The sequence below is a fragment of the Homo sapiens genome, chromosome 9, assembly GCF_000001405.40.
Source record: "Homo sapiens chromosome 9, GRCh38.p14 Primary Assembly".
NCBI classification, from domain to species: domain Eukaryota; kingdom Metazoa; phylum Chordata; class Mammalia; order Primates; family Hominidae; genus Homo; species Homo sapiens.
In genome coordinates, this window is record NC_000009.12 from 76714109 (window position 1) to 76732167 (window position 18059).

The 18059-nt window shown below is 39.7% G+C and overlaps 1 protein-coding gene across 34 annotated transcripts in view; it reads right to left on the reverse strand.

Moving 5' to 3' along the window:
- PRUNE2 (prune homolog 2 with BCH domain) overlaps window positions 1–18059 on the reverse strand; it is a 294739-nt gene that overhangs the window by 102733 nt on the left and 173947 nt on the right. The gene's annotated exons all lie outside the window — the stretch shown is intronic.

Below are 18059 nucleotides of genomic sequence, written 5' to 3' on the forward strand. Positions count from 1 at the left end.
GAAGTTATTTCTTCCTGTATTTTTTTTCTAATGATTATTATTAACTCCAAGGAGAAATTCCTACGAATCAACATAGCTGAGTTTACTGGGTGATCTTTATTCCAGTGTAGAATTCTGGGAGATTTTTAAAAGAGCTGTGATGTCAGATTTGCTTGTTCTATGTGGCAGCTGTGGAGGAATGAATAATTGCAGAAAGGGATCCCAATACCTCAGATTACCCAGATGTGGCTCATATCATTTGCAAAAATGTTCTGGCTGCTTCAAGTTTTATTTACTGTATGTATGTACTTATTTATTTATTTTTGAGACAGGGTCTCACACTGTCACCCAGGCTGGAGTGCTGTGGCGTTATCTCGGCTCACTGCAACCTATGCCTCCTGGGCTCAAGCAATCCTCCCAGTTCAGCCTCCCAAGTAGCTGGGGCTACAGGTGTGTATCACCATGCCCAGCTAATTTATTGTATTTTTTTGTAGGCGTCAGGTTCTGCCATTTTGCCCAGGCTGGTCTCGAACTCCTGGGCTCAACTGATCCACCCACTTCATCCTTGCAAAGTGCTGGGCTTACAGGCGTAAGACCGCACCCGGTCCGGTCTTTGAGTTTTATTAACTACAATGAGAGCCACTTTCTCTGTGTGGGTGTCTCTCTTCCTTAAAGAAGTACAGTGAAGAACATATGCTAGCCCCTAACATAATGCCTGGCATATACTAGTTGTTCAAGAAATGTTTGTCGGATGACTGGAGAGACAGGTACACAAAATCAACCTGTGCTCCATCATCCATAATCTTCTATCATAGTCCACATATATATCTATCCTAGCACATATATGATCATACCACATAATTCATCAACTGACAGTCTATTGTGTCACTCAACAAAAAACACCATGATGTGCACTCAAGGGATTTAAAAGATTCTGTTCATTTTTTCTGATTATAATAGCAATCAGAATTATGCCTGTCATGGGTAAGATACTAAAACAACACAGAAATGTGTACCACAGAAAGTGGAAGTGCCACACACATCTCCTAGGACAGCCACTGTGAAGATGTGAACGATGCCGTGCAGAGAGTTGCAGATTTCCCCATACCCACATTAATGTCTATGTGGTCATTCTTTGAAACTCGTGGATTGGGTATTTGTGGCTTAGACTATTTACCAGCCACTTCAAAAAGCCATCATACCCGTACTCTGTAATTCTGCTGAGTTGAATCTCAAGGTCTGTGAGGCTCTGAAGAGGGCACACAAGACCCTGGGTAGGTAGGCAGGCAGGCCCCGCCCATCACGGGCTTCCATGTTTCGAGGAGGCTTTGCTGTCTACTCCAAGGCAGCCACTCTCATCTGGCATCTTACTGGGCCACTTTCCCTTTTTTGGTTGCAAGGAATTGCACATACGAATCCACAAAGGTCTCAGGATCTATTCTCATGCTGATGAACATCAAGGATCTATTGTAATGACATTTATGATCATATAAGTCATATGCGTTTGGAACATATGCTTTTGGAAGTGTGTGTTCCAAAGTGTGTACTGTCAGCTTTCATGCTTTTTATTTATTTTCCAAATGGCCTAATAACAATCTTTAAGTAGATGTTTAAAAAATTAATTCATCCACAATAGAAAGACATTAAATATTTAAAAGGAGATTTTTTAAATAATCAAAACTCATATACAATGTGTGTTCAACAGATAAAATTATTTCAAACCATCATTGAGGGTGAATCAAGAACCTCATTGCTAAACTTGTAGCAACTATGAACTGTAAAAAAAGATATAGCCCTGAAAAAAATAAAAAGAGACTACAACTAACTACAACTTATTTCCAGTAACTGAAGGCTTCAGCACAATAAGCCTTACAGTTTTCCTTTCTAAGTATTTTTCGTTATGTATATAAAGGCCTCCAAATACATTTATAAACCCTTGAAAGAAGACACACATTTCTAAGAGATTTTTACATATAACAAAATTCTCACTACACTCCTGGCCGGGTCACTGAAACAAGAGGGGGCAGGTTTTATTTGTATCTGAGCATAAGATTAAGAATCAGTAGAATCAACACTGTTCAAAGCCACACTTGTGGAAAGTTTCCTATTCAAAAATGCCGGCTGATCTCCAAACTGTTTTAATTCTTCTGTGTTAAACTGATGGCTCTAGGACCTCGATGGACTCAAGTCCAAAAGCATTGGCAACACCAGGCATCTTGTTGGAAATGCAGAGTCTCCGGCAAAACACTAGACCTATTGAAGCAGGATCTGCATTTTCCAACAATCCTAGGAATTGGAATGCACGTTGAAATCTGAAAAGCACTACTCCAGAGAGGGATTTATTAGTTGATATATTTTCCTACAAACCAGTCCTTTGGACTCTCTCAGCACTGTCACAGGACTTGTACTGACTCACACTGCCAGCTCTTTGTTCCTATGGCAACCTCATCATAAAAGTCCCCTTAGGGTGTGCGTTTCTGGGCCGATTTGCTACAGGTTCTCATTTAGCAGGTTGGGCACTGGATCAAGACTATATTTTCTTTTTCTTTATTTTTTTTTCAGAATGGTATAGGTATGTTTATTTTTAATTTAATTTAATTTTTAAAATTTTGTTTTAAGTCCTGGGATACATGTGCAGAATGCGCAGGTTTGTTACATAGGTATATGTGTGCCATGGTGGTTTGCTGCACCTATTGACCCATCATCTAGATTCCCTCCCCTCGCCCCCCAACCCCCCAACAGGCCCCAGTGTGTGCTGTTCCCCTCCCTGTGTCCATGTGTTCTCATTGTTCAACTCCCACTTATGAGTGAGAATATGCAGTGTTTGGTTTTCTGTTCCCATGTTAGTTTGTTGAGGATGGTGGCTTCCAGCTTCATCCATGTCCCTGCAAAGGACATGACCTCATCCTTTTTTATGGCTGCAGAGACTGTATTTTCATCATGTCCCTCAAGTGCTCTAGCTCAGTTTTCCCCTGGGTGACCCCAAATTCCACAGGACCAAATGAAGCACTGATAAATCAAAAAACTATTTGAATCACCTAGGCAAGTTAGAGAAACAAAATACATTTTACAATAACCCTAAAACAGATTCTCATCAGCTCTCCAAGCCAGATTCGATCTTACTGGCCTTGGGATAATGTCAAGAGTTTCATGTTTAAAACAGAATTAAACAAGGGAATGAGTGAGAATCTTCAGGATTCCAGGAGGCAGAGCGTGTTTGTTCTGCTTTTATGCCGGTGCTGTTTGCATAGGGGATAATTTATTATTGTCTTCTAGCTACGCAGGGAGTCATGTGCTGCGGTGGCTCTTATGTTGCTGACAAGCTAGGCTGGCCCTGAATAAACAGCACTTCATCATCAACACAACCCAACTGTAGATACAGGTTGGCATTTTATTCCCCCCATCTGCCTTCTACCTGATAAATTACTGTTTTAGTTACATGTATACAAATACTATTTGTTAATCTGCTCAAATGTCTCCAAAATGTTCCCCCCACTTAAATTAAAATTATATACGTGCATACATATATATCTCCCATTCAATTTACTAAGGATTTAGACAATAAAAGCACTTCCTGTTGAACTTACCACCCCCCCCACCAGCCACACACACCTTCTGCATTTGTGACCCCAGCCTATAACTGCTGCATGGAATTTAGGAAGTTACTTTATGAATCATTGCAACTGGGAATTGGCTGGCAAAATCTCATACTAATGCCAGCAGTTAGGGAGAATGGCAATTGCTCCCTGTCACAGCCCTTTGTCACTCGTGATTCCGAAGGGTCGATGACTAAACATTTTTAGAGGTCACGTGTCTTGTTGTCTGAGTAATTTCTAGTTTGGGAATGAGTGGGAAAGCCTGGAAACGTGGGGAGAAAAAGCCTTTGTTATTTCCTGGTCAAAAAAGCTAAGGTGTAGGTCCCAAGAATCCTAAAAGAAGTTGATGCTCATTATAACCCAGAGGAGGAAAACAGAAATAATACAGCTGTACCTGAACTAATATCAAAACCAAGATAGTGATAGTGATGGTGCCCCATAGATTACTCCATTCACAGCTGAAAGTGCAGATGCAGTGAAACCTTTCATTCTCACAATATCCTATTTTACGTTTTTCATTGCTCAGAAAAAGGCAGTCTTTATGCTGTCTGCTGGTAGCTTCAGTGCATCGTGTGAAACAAAAGTGATGTAAAGAATGTCTTGTAAACATTTCAGTAGATATCCTTGAGAGACAGAAACCCTCTTCTTGCATCACTCACACATGCTCACCTTCTGTTGTCTTCTCAGTCCCCCTGGTGGGGGATCTGGCTCCGTCATTTCACTGAAACTCTCTTCTCAAAAGTACCAAGCACTCCGAGGTTGCCAAATCCAAAGATAACATTCCATTTCTTACCCTACTTGATTCTCTACAGTATTCCATGAGATTGACCCTCCCTCTGTTTTGAAACACTTAATTCCTTCACCTTCCTGACACCACACACCTTGTTTTTCTCCGGATTCACCGACTGCCCTTCAGTTGCCTTTGCTGGTTGCTCTTCCTTATTAAGCCTCCAAATATTCACACCCAACTTTGTTTCCTGTCCCCTTTCTCTTCTCTCTTTCCACTTTCTCCTTGATGATCTTACCCAGCCACATGGCTTTAAAACCATTTGTCTGCCACTGATGACAGAATCTACATGCACATGAGATCTGCATGTAGCTGTTTAATAAGTATCTCAAGTAAAATATGGCCCACCGCCTCCTCAGTTGTGTCTGTCCTATTAAATGGCACCACCGTCTACCCAGTTATTCGAACCCAACATCTAGGAATTATCCTTGATTGTTTTTTTCCTCATCTCTCACGTAATTCACCAGCAAATCCTATTAACATTGCCTTTAAAATATATCTGTAGTCTAAACACGTCTCTAATATCTCTTCATCTCCATTGCTGTCCTAGCCACAGCCACCATCATCTCTTGCCAGAACTTTAGCAGCAGCATCACAGCTGGTCTCTCAGTAATGTAGTCTCCACATAGCATCAAGGGGCAGCTTTATTTTATTTTTTTTCCACCCCTTCCCCAAGAGGCAGCTTTTAAAAATATAAATTGAATAATGACACTCTCCTGCTTAAAGCCTACTGAAAGTTTCCCAATGCAATTATTATTATTACTTTTTTTTTTAGCTAGGAGGAAAAGGTTTAATGTCCTCAAGAATAAGAGTTAATATAAATCAATGAAAAAAGGATATATACCAATGGAAAAACTGTTACAAAACATAAAAGACAATTCACAACTGGAATTCAAATGGATAATAAATAGATCTGAACTCATTAATCAAAGAAATCCTTTAATAACACAAATTTTCTTCTTTTCTTATTATTGGTAAATATTTCCAAATGGGCACTATCAAACTTTTTTTTAGAAATATATTCTTTTTTTTAGGCCGAGCATGGTGGCTCACATCTGTAATCCTAGCACTTTGGGAGGCCAGGGCAGAAGAATCACTTAACTTAGGAGTTTGAGACCAGCCTGGGCAACATAGTGAGAGCTCCTCTCTAAAAGAAAAAAAAGATTAAAAAAATATATGTTCCTTTTTTTTTTCAGAGTTGGGGTCTTACTCTGTCACCCAGGCTGGAGTGCAATGGTATGATCATGAGTCACTGCAGACTCAACCTCCTAGGCTCAAGCTGTTCTCCCACTCAGCCTCCCTAGTAGCCGGGAATACAGGCGTGCACCACCATGCCCAGCTAATTTTTTTATTTTTTGTAGAGACAGGGTCTCACTATGTTGCCCAGGCTGGTCCTGAACTCCTGACTTCAAATGATCCTCCCACCTTGGCCTCTCAAAGTGCTGGGATTAGAGGCATAAGCCACCATGTCCAGCCTAGAAATATATCCTAACGAAATAATCATATATGTACACAAAGATTTGTGGACAAAGCTGTTAACTGGATTATTACTTTAATAACTAAAACTTACAAACAATCTAAATGTCCAACACTAGAGCAATGGTTAAGTAAATCATAGAATGGTCACACAAAGGATTGTTAAACTGCTATTAAAAGTTATGCTATCAAAGAATACTTAATGACACAGGAAAACACTCATGATACAGTGTTAACTGGAAGATAATTTTTATAACCACATAAAAGTAGAATGTCATTTCTAGACGTATTCAAATAATACGTATTGAATTCTAATATACAATGGACATTAAGATTCACTGATATTTATTAAAGTTGTCATAATTTAGCCAAATTGCTATTCTGAAACCTTATTGTGTCTCTCCATTATTTTAGGGAGCTCATGCCAAGGTAGTAAAGACCTACGAGTCAGCCAAACATGAGGTTAACCCTCGCTGTGACACTCACTAGCTGGGTGACTCAAATCAGTTACTTCATTTTCATGAGCCTTAGTTTCCTCATCTGTAAACCCTCACCTCATAGGACTGTTGTGAGAACTAAAAGCATATATAAAAGACTGGTCAAGTGCCTGACATATAGTAGACAATAAATATTAAGCCTCTTTCCTTTCCTGTTTTTTTATTATTATTTTTTAGGTTATTCTCAGGATTTATGGGATTAAATCTGATTCATAGAAAGTACTTTTGCAAGATTCTGTCTGTGGGGACTGGTTATGACAATTTTTGCCTTATGTTCTCCATAATATATGTGAACTTTCAAATAATAATCACACACATCTTTAAGTCATTTAAGTGATTTACATGTAAAATTCTTAGATGTGAGATGATGGAGGAAGTTGCACAAAGTTAAATATGAAGTAAACTCATATAAAAATGATGTAAGGTTTGGGAGGCTGAGGCGGGCGGATCACAAGATCAGGAGATCGAGACCACGGTGAAACCCCATCTCCACTAAAAATACAAAAAATTAGCCAGGCGTGGTGACCGGCGCGTGTAGTCCCAGCTACTCGGAGAGGCTGAGGCAGGAGAAGGGCATAAACCCAGGAGGCGGAGCTTGCAGTGAGCCGAGATCGCACCACTGCACTCCAGCCTGGGCAACAGAGCGAGACTCCGTCTAAAAGATGTAAGGTATAAAACCTACTGATAGGTCAGTGTTTATCTCATTATCAAATTTTCTATCCTTAATTCCAAGTTAGACTCAGTGAATGAGCTTCTGTCTGCCACTATGCAAACAACAGCTTTTAAAGCATTAAAAAAATGTATAGTGATTTTTCCTTCAGCTAAATCACAATGAATAGTCTTTTTCATCATTTCCACCGTTTCACCTCCAAGGGCCAAATGACCTTCAGTGAATTTTACTCCTGGTGCTAATACTTCCCACATAGGTCAAGCATTCTGGACTATACCTATTATAGTGTTGTCTTCCTCACAAATTACAGATGAAATATATTGAGTAAGACTTTTATTAAGAATAAATTACTTTCTAATGTCAGGAACAAGCAATTCCCAGATTTGTTATTTCTGGGTTTTTTTGTTTGTTTGTTTGTTTTTGCAGGAAATGGAAAAATCAAGTGAGTATATGTCACTTGTAGTAAAATGCTTGCAGATAAAAATAATTACCAAGATTAAAACACCAGTGTGTACGGCTGCATTTTTGGGAACAGTGAGTCTTACAAACACAGTGTGACAATTCCTAACTACCTTGCAAGCACAGTGGCCAGCCTGGACTGCTGAGTTACTGAAATTTAAGAGTACAGTTTGACATTTACAGTCTGCATGGATTTATTTCTAGAATGAGGGCTATTTTTTAAAATCGAGATATAAGAAAAATGCTGAGGTATGTACACAAATGTTCTAACTTGAAGGGATTATGATTTATGCAACCAAAATTCCATTGTAATATTTAAAACATTCAGCAATAATAAAGTCTGATAATTTTGACAGGAAAATGATTTATGAGAACACCACATGCATAAATTAAGAGATTTTATTTATTTTGTTTTTTGTACACTCTTTAATTGGTAAGCAAAGATATTTTCCATGTTTTTTCCAGATGTCATTTATTTATACTCTATTGTTCTTTTTTATTTTTGAGACAGAGTCTCTCTTCATTGCCCAGGCTGGAGTGCAGTGGTGTGATCTCGGCTCACTGCAACCACTACCTCCCAGGTTCAAACAATTCTCATGCCTCAGTCTCCTGAGTAGCTGGGATTACAGGCGTGTGCCACCACACCCTGCTATTTTTTTTTTTTTTTTTGTATTTTTAGTAGAGACAGTGTTTCACCATGTTGGCCAGGCTGGTCTTGAACTCCTGACCTCAAGTGATCCTCCTGTCTCAGCCTCCCAAAGTGCTAGAATTACAGGTGTGAGCCACCGCGCCCAGCCTACACTCTATTGTTCTTGTTTTTATGAGGCAGCCAAAGCATCATAGTAGTAAAAATTCACTGGGTCTATTAAAACTATATTAGACATCACATTTTGAAAAGAAAGTTAGACAGTACATATTATCATTCTTTATAGCTAAAAAGAGAGCCCTTTTGTGAAAATATTTTGTGAAAATTAAAACTACTACAATATGTACATGAATATGTAACACATATAAATGCCAATATAATCTTCATTTACGTCAATAGTATATTGCCTGACATAATTAAGTATTGCCTCTGCATTAAGTGCTCTGTTAAGTACTTTGCATCATCTCATCTAAACTTTAAGATGCCCCTGTGAGATAGGTAACATGGTCTCTGTTTTGCATTGAGAAAATGGAGGCTTTGGAAGGTTAAGTAACTGATGCCACCCAGCTCACAGCTCGTATGTGGGACAAATGGGACTTAAACCCAGGTTAGTTTAACTTCAGAGCCCATGTTTTCACTCCTGTTTTATCCTTAAATGAGAACATCCCTCCTCACCAAAGATATTATTGATTAATTCAGTTTTTAATAAAAATAGTTTTTAACTACTCCATTTATTTCAATTTGGTGTTGGTTCTCTCTTGTCACTACACACAAGCAAGCAACATCCTTGATTTTGACAATTGCTAACAATAATGCGCTGCTTACGTCTTTTGAAGATCGAACATTACCATGCTTTGTGAGCAATTTCCAGTTATTCATCTGCTCTATAAAATAGAACTGTAGGGTGACTGTTAACTATATGTAAGATCCTAAAATTGAAAAAACCCAAAACTTCTATAAAGAAGAATGTTGTGATATTCTTGCAGTAGTATGTACTTTTGAAAAGTTGGGCATGCAAGTGTACACAGGCAATGGGTGGGAAAACAGGAGATGTGGCATAATCACTGGTTATCCAGAAGTATCCTCACGTAGACTTTCTTGCTCTGGTAGCTTAGACACACAAGCAACGGAAGAAGCCTGCTTTACCATTCAGTATGTACAAATCTTATTATCTAAAGATGCTCCCAATATAAGCTGACTTACGTTCAAAAACTCAGAGAAACTAGAAATTAGAATTGCCAGAGGGGAGTAGAGAGGCTAAAGGGGCTTAGTTTTGGTTTGGTTTGGTTTTTTTCCTGACTTAGCAGGTTTCTTAACAGAAGACCATAAAAGCGAAGTCCTCTCACTAAGGTACAACTATGAAAGGCAATCATAATAATGTCATCCATCTGCAAATGCTTGATTTAGGTTAAGCATGTCGTAAGTATGAAAAGAAAAACCAAGAGTTCTTCAAGCAAAAGCTCTTGTGATGCCCTCTTTTGAGTTGAAGAATTCAAGAATAGAGGGGGAGATAACATGTTTATTGAAAACTGAAAATCACTGCTTTCTTGTCATGGAGCAAATATTTATTACCTCCTATAAGCATATCTTTCTTTTTTTTTTTTTTTGAGATGGAGTATCGCTCTGTCGCCCAGGCTGGGGTGCAGTGGTGCGATCTCGGCTCACTGCAAGCTCCGCCTTCTGGGTTCACGCCCTTCTCCTGCCTCAGCCTCCCGAGTAGCTGGGACTACAGGCGCCTGCTACCACGCTCGGCTAACTTTTTGTATTTTTAGTAGAGATGAGGTTTCACCATGGTCTCGATCTCCTGACCTTGTGATCTGCCCGCCTCAGCCTCCCAAAGTGCTGGGATTACAGGCGTGAGCCACCGCACCCGGCCAGCATATCATTAATGAAGGGAGAGAGAAAATGTTTGGGAGATAATTCATCTGAAAGCACAGGTTAAGAACTCCTTGAAATCAGGCTGGGTGCGGTGGCTCATGCTTATAATCGCAGCACTTTGGGAGGCTGAGGCGGGCAGATCACTTGAGCTCAGAAGGTCGAGACCAGCTTGGGCAACATGGTGAGACCTGTCTCTGATAGAAATACAAAAAAAAAAAAAAAAAAAAAATAGCCAGGCATGGTGGTGCATGCCTGTGGTCCCAGCTACTGGGGAGGCTGGGATGGGAGGATTGGTTGAGCCTGGGTGGGGGTGGAGGTTGCAGTGAGCGGAGATCCCATCACTGCACTCCAACCTGGGTGACAGAGCAAGACCCTGTCACACAGACACACACAAAAAGAACTTCTTGAAATGAAGTGGGCTGATTTCAGGCACACCTCAAATAAGGGAGTTAAAATTCTTTCCCATCTTTTTCCATCCCATCCTATCTTCCATAAAGAAGCACTGTTGTTACACAGACAGAGAGTTGGGCCTGGAATAAAAGTAGTCCCAGGCACTCTTACAAGCAGTTAATAATAGATTGAATACTTGAATGGGGGAGTTTCACAACCAATCAAAGACAAATAAGTCATCACCTCATTAACTAACAGCCTAATTTACATTTTCTTTAAGGACAGACCCATAATCAGGAAAACTTTCCTCTATTGGATGGACTTAAGTGCTTGGCAAGGAAAGGGCTAGACTGCTGTTTCCTTTAAGGGCCCCTTTTTGTTTCTGTATGTTTATAAGGATTTCTATACGGGAACGAATAATTCAGGACACACATGTAATGAAACCCCGCTCATTAGCCATGCTCTATTTTTGAAATGGTAGAACCTGGGCTACACTCTAGCTCCCAGATAAAAATAATAATAATGAATGATTTCTATAATTATGTATAGATTAAAAAAAAAGTCCCTGTTGGCTTGTTTTGAGCCATGAGCCTGAACACTGACAGCTTTATTTTCCTTTGTAAAAATAAATCATCTAGTTTGAACCCAATTTCAAGAAAGCAGGAAAACCTTTTTTCCTCTCTGGGTTCCCCTTTCTGATTTATGGAAACCACAAGGCAAGTCTCCAGAGCACTTTCTGCACGTGTGCATTGCACACACTTCTGATTTTTCTAAGCTGTGTCAATATTAACCTGACCAAATGAAGATCAAACTGTCTCTTTTGTTCCTCACGCTCCTTGCATGGGGAGCACAATATGGCTCTTGTCAGAGGTGCTTCATCATTTTGGCTCAATGAAAGTGTCAGTACAGTTTGGGATTCGTTCTTCATGGGCAGATATCCTGATGGGTCTAATGAAGCCTCTCTGCTGACAACTCATTTGCTAAAAATACCCAACCATCGCCAAGCTTAAGTGGGGAATATGGTTGTGCCCCCTTTGCTATCAACCCAATGAAAGTAATTAGTTTTTTTTGAAGTCTAAAAAAAAAATCTATCTATCAAGGCACACACCTTTCACCACCCATCTATGTGTTCTTGCTCATTTCCATTTGCTCACTGATAAACTTTATGACATTCTTAAATTGGCATATATAGGGTAAACACCAATCTTGGAGCACACATGCAGAGCCAGCAGTCTGTGTGTACCATTTGTTGCAGTCTAAGCTAATTACCAGAAACCCCCTCCTGAAAACAGATACACTCTGGGGTTTGTGGTTTTACTTTTGTTTGGAGATGGCTGTGTTTGAGAAGCTGGAGGAATCCCTCTTCAGGTAAGGATGCTGCTGTCATGACTGTCTCAGTCACAAGTCACAGAAACTTAACTGTAACTGATTTAAGTAGAGAAAGAAGTCAGCAGGATCTGGGGAGTGTTCCCACAGAAGCCAAGAAGAGCCTGAGCACGCGCTGGGAGAAGGGCAGGGGTTGCCAGGGATATGCAGGTCGTCCTGCCTCTCCATCCTCTTCTGGCTGCATTCTGCTGTCCTGCAGCCAACTGGCATCCTCTACACGGTGGGAACCACAGGTGGCTGCAGCATCTCTGTGTAGACCTTGCCAAATGAGTCACGACTCCCTTTTGGTCATGAGTTTGAAAACCCTGGAGAAAGAACTCTGGTTGTTCCCACTTGGGTTCGGTGCCTATCTCTGGGCAAAACAATTGAGGTAGATTGGAAAGACCACAAATCACAGACACCACACCAGTTATAACAAAGTTGGTGGGTAAGAGTCACTTCCTAGAAGAGGGATGCTGAGCAGATAAGCCCATAGGTGGGCACTTTAGACATCAAGCACGAAGGTGTAACACGCATACACAGGCACACGCACATACATTCTAACACACACATGCACACTCATCAGATACTTTCCCAAAGCCCCATTTTAGTTCCAACCAACCAAGCCTAGTTGTAGGGAGAATCATGATGCTTGGAAAGATAAGTTTAGTGAGACAATTTAGTTAACTTTTATTTTCATGTTAATTTTTATTTTACGCTCCAATTAAGGAGGGTATTAAAAAGAGGAGTGATAAATCTATAAAAGCGTTAAGCTTAGAGAATGAAAATTATGCTGAATCAATTGAAAATACATTGTACTATTTAAACAATCCAGGAAAAAGCAGTCAAGCCTCCTTAATCTTTATTCTTTCAGGTCAACATGAGGGTGTTTCTCTTTTTGGCCCTTGAAGTCTTCAGAAGCTCAAATCTCCACTATAACTGTCAAACTTCCATTGCTATTAGTACCATCTATGAGGCATTAAAATGCTTTAAATACAAATTTGAAATGTTCTACAGGCCCAGCCTTCCAGGCAGAGAATACCTGGGCTCACTCTGGTGGAACAAGAGTAGTAATTTAATTGTCATTATTTTATACAAGAGTGATTTATAGAAGGGCTCTAAGCAAGCCAAATACAGAAAAAAACCTAAATTCGTAACAGATAAAAAGTAATAACTTTAGACCAGGGTTTCTCAACCTTGGCACTACTGACATTTGGGGCTGGACAGTTCTTTGCTGTGGGGGCTGTCTTGTACCTTATAGGGTGTTTATAGCATATCTGGCCTTGACCCACTAGATGCCAGTAGCAAGCTCCCTGCCCTAGTTATGACAACTAAATATGTCCCCTGTGGGGCAAAATCACCCCAGTTAAGAACCACTGCTTTAGAGAAAAACAGCAGGAGACTCTTAGGAGCTTACAAAATAATTCAAGTCACACTCAACTGTTTCAGAAATCTTACTACATAAAGCAAGACACATGGTTAATTCTGCCTGGTTTAACAGGCAGGAGAACTAGAAAAGTAAATCAGGGATGGGGAGCATCTACATGAATACTTTTTATTAATTGGCCAAATATTTCCTTTTTCGAAGCCAGTAAAAATAACATCTTTCCATCAATTGTCTTTTAGTTTAGATTGCTGTGCTTATAAATGAAACCAAGCTTCGATTCTCTTAAACAAAGAAAACAGCAGGATGGTTTAAAAGAGCCAAGATTTTATAAAACATCTACTTCCTATTCCAGGAAAATGAAGTTTACCCAGGTATTTTCCAGAGTTGTTTCTTTCTTCTTCTTCTTCTTTTTTTTTTTTTTTGTCAAGCAAAGTTGTACTATTATTCCAACTTAGTTATGGGTAAACAGGGCTTTTTTTTTTTTTTTTTTTTTTGAAACAGGGTCTCACTTTGTCACCCAGGCTGGAGTGCAGTGGGGTGATTTCGGTTCACTGTAACCTCTGCCCCCAGGTTCAAGTGATCCTTCCACCTCAGCCTCCCCGAGTAACTGGGACTACAGGTGCAAGCCACCATGCTTGGCTAATTTTTGTATTTTTTGGTAGAGATGGGGTTTCACCATGTTGTCCAGGCTGGTCTTGAACTCCTGACCTCAGGTGATCTGCCTGCCTCAGCCTACCAAGGTACTGGGATTACAGGTGTGAGCCCCCCGACGCCTGGCCTTAAACAGGGCATTTTTAAATGCCAAATCTTATATTTAGGATTCCTGAAAAATCTATCTTTTATCTCCATAATGGTAACCTAAAATATGGCAGATATTTGAGGGTATAGCTATGTTATGCCACACTCATGGGGCATTACAACTGTTCAATGAATGGCTAGCATTCTTGCCTGATAACAGGCTACCAGCATCTTTGCCCAATAACTTAGGCTATGTGGAAAAACTCATCAAAACCCATTAAAACCCATTTCTGGGCCTGAATTATCTAAACCTGTATGTTCACATCTCAATCCATTCTCAACCCCGGCTATACCTAAGAATAGCCCAGGGAGCTGTTAAAAAAAAAAATACAAGTACTCACAGCCCACCCCATGAGATTTAAATTTAATTGGCTTAAGGGTGAGGCCTGGGTATCAGTATATTTTTCAAGGAGGTACATTGATTAATGTGCAGGTAGGGTGGAGAACAGGAGTCTGTATTGACATAAAGAAATATTTTCAATTTGTATTGTCTACACATAGTTTCTACATCAGTGATTCTAGTTTCTATTCTCTAGTCATTGACTGAACTTTGATAGTCACTGGGGAAAAATATAAATTCCAAAAACTTGGTTCATATTTGCGTATGTGTGTTTTTAAATAAGCAGCCCTAACTTCTCCAAATGAGCAAATAATAAAATGTAGTGCTTAAAAGAATAGGCTTTGGAATACAGCAGCCCAGGACTCACATCCTAGCTCCACAGCCTGTTATCTCTGCACCTTTAGGCAAGTTACTTATTAGGCTAAGCTTCAGTTCTTTCCTCTGGAAAATGAGTATAATAACCTACTTATAAAATGAGAAAATGTATAAAACACTTAGCTTAGGATCTCTCACACAATCAGCCCTCAATACATAGATGGTAGTCAGCAGCAGCCAAGACCCAACAGCTACAACTCCATTAACAGTAAGTTTATTTGTCAATTAGGGCATTAGAATAATCCATTTTCAGGGACAGTTTGGAGATTGTCTTTCTACCTTATGTATGTTAGAAATAGTCCTTTTTGCCCTAAGATTCTTTTGTTGCAGCCATTGTTTAAATTACGGAGCTACAGAATTTCTGATTAAAAGAACTCTCAGGTTTGGAGAAAGTGTGGGACAAATGAACCAGAGAGTGTAATGGAGCAATGGGTTCTCCAGGTGCTGTCTTTAGGATGTGATCTAAGTCAATGATCCTCAAACTTTAGCTGAACTCATGAATCACCTACAGGGCTTCTAAAAATACGGACACCTGGGCCCCACTTCTAGCGTTTCTGATTCAGTAGGTCTGGGGCTGTTAGTTCTAGCGAGCTCTCAGGTGATGCTGATGTGGCTGGTCTGGGAACCACAATTTGAGAACCACATTTTTATCTAAAGCAAGACATTTCATTTTTCTGAGCCTCAGGTTCCTATCTGTCAAAAACAAACAACAACAACAGCAACAAAAAAAGCCAGAGTCCATTAAGGTATAAAATTCTTGCTTCTACTTTGCTTGGCTCTTTAGAAATGAAAGTATACAGTAGCATTCTTCTACTGTATATTTTTTATATTAGCTGATATGATTAGGACAAGGAGTTGGTTAATTAAAAATTTGGCTAAAGAGGTAAACTGTTAAAAAGAAATGTTTTATTATAAAATAAAATAAAACGATCTTATTTGAATTCAAACATAAAATAATGCATCCATTTATAATCTTTTCATGTAGAACCAAGGTCTTTTAAAGTATTTTTTTCTTTTAAAATATTTAAAAGCATGGGTTTATAGGAGCTTTCCAACTTCTTTGTTGCAGCCATACATATAAAATTTAATTTTCCATTTCTAATTTCAATTTCCTTAATGTGGAATAAAAACTTAGACATATGTAAAAAAATCTGAACACAGACTCCTACATTTTTACAAGTCTGCCAATTTTTTATAGCTGTATTATCCTAATTTGAGACCATATTTTTCTTGAGAGCATGTTTCATTTCATTTTCTTGTCTTTCCAAAGCATTAATCTTAGAAATAACTACCTTAGTCCTATTTCATCAGTTTATTCAAGATTGTGTAATTATATTAACATGTACAATTGATTTAAATAGGTTTGGAGCAAACACAGCTGATACTTGGCAAACATTAAATGCAGCTAATCCATATGTACACACCTGTTCAGTCTAGAGAGTTTTTGGCTGGCTGTCAGCATTCAGCTAAGGTTATCGATGAGTATACGTTACAGGGTAGAGTGGACAATGTCATTTAGTTCAGTACATTAGTTAAGGGAAGATCAATAAAGAGAGCTTCTACTGTCAGAGGTAACTGTGCAGCCCTACCTCCTCACCTGTAGAAAAAAGATACATATAATCTTGTGATTTTGAGTCACAACATATATTAACCCACGCATCTGTAACTTAAACACAAATCACCTGGGATTCTTGCTAAACCACAGATTCTGACTCAGGGGGCCTGAGATTCTGCATTTCTACATGCTCCCAGGTGATGGCTGTGCTGCTGGTCTGTGCACCACATGTTGAGTAGTAAGATATTAACCAATGCTACCAGAAGCCATAAAAAAAGGAGAGGTTCTACCCCTGAAATAAAAGATGAAAGAGGGCCGGGTACGGTGGCTCACGCCTGTAATCCTGGCATTTTGGGAGGCCAAGGCGGGCAGATCACGAGGTCAGGAGTTCAAGACCAGCCTGACCAATATGGTGAAACCCCATCTCTATTAAAAGTACAAAAATTAGCCGAGTGTGGTGGTGGCACACGCCTGTAATCCCAGCTATTCGGGAGGCTGAGGCAGGAGAATCGCTTGAACTTGGGAGGCAGATGTTGCAGTGAGCTGTGATCGCACCACTGCACTCCAGCCTGGCGACAGAGCTAGACTCCGTCTCAAAAAAATAAAGAGACGAAAGAGATGAGGCAATCTGAAAGGAAACACCAAACATTCTTAACATCTCTCTTTTGCAAAATGCGGAACCCAGAGAGTGTGGAATTTATCTAAGTAGAATGCAGGATCTCAATATGATAGAGGAAATGATTTCACACTGAGAATATGGCAACAGAAGAGTGGCTTGCTGGTCAACCTCTCTCAGAAGATAGCTTAATGAGCAATGGGGCTTTCATATTTCATATTTCTTTATGCTATGAAAAATGAAAAAGATATATATACTTGCTGCTGTGGAAATATTCCAAGACATATTATTATATGGGGGAAAATCAAGTTTAACACACACATACACACACACACACTATAAACATATATTCCCTCTCTCTATCTATCTATCTATCTATCTATCTATCTATATATATATATATTTTTTTTTTTTTTTTGAGACAGGGTATTGCTCTGTCACCCAGGCTGGAGTGCAGTGGTAAGATGTCAGCTCACTGCAGTCTTGACCTCCCAGGCTCCAGCGATCCTTCTGCCTCAGCCTCCTGAGTAGCTGGACTGCAGGCACACACCACTATACCCAGCTAATTTTGTTTTTTTATTTTTTTGTATAGACAGGGTCTCATTATGTTGCCCAGGCTGGTCTTGAACTCCTGGACTCAAGTGATCCCCCCATCTTGGCCTACCAAAGTGCTGGGATTGCAGACCACCATGCCCGGCAGGAACAATAAATATATTTTTTAAACTTACAAAACAAAATTGTATCTTTCTAGTACGTACCAAAAAGAGCAAGGAGAAAATTCCAGAAAAATGTACACCTCATTGGTACACTTATTATTTAGAAAAAGGACTGGTATTTGAATGAGGGTATAAAAAGGCCTTGAGCTTTGTCTGCATTATTTAGATTCCTTTACAGTGTGAACAAACTCATGTATTATTTATGTAATAAACTAAACAAAAGAAAGAGTAGCTTGCAATTACATTTTGTTAGTGATCAAAGCAAACCTCCTTTGCTTATAGTAAAGGAGTCAAACCTTTTTACTCAGACACCCCCGCTGCTCCCACCACTAGCAAGCATCAGGTCCTCTAAGGGACCCTGATACGTGCATTTATGTCATAGAAAATTACACTTGGCCGGGCGCGGTGGCTCACGCCTGTAATCCCAGCACTTTGGAAGGCCGAGGCGGGTGGATCACGAGGTCAGGAGATCAAGACCATCCTGGCTAACATGGTGAAACCCTGTCTCTACTAAAAATACAAAAAATTA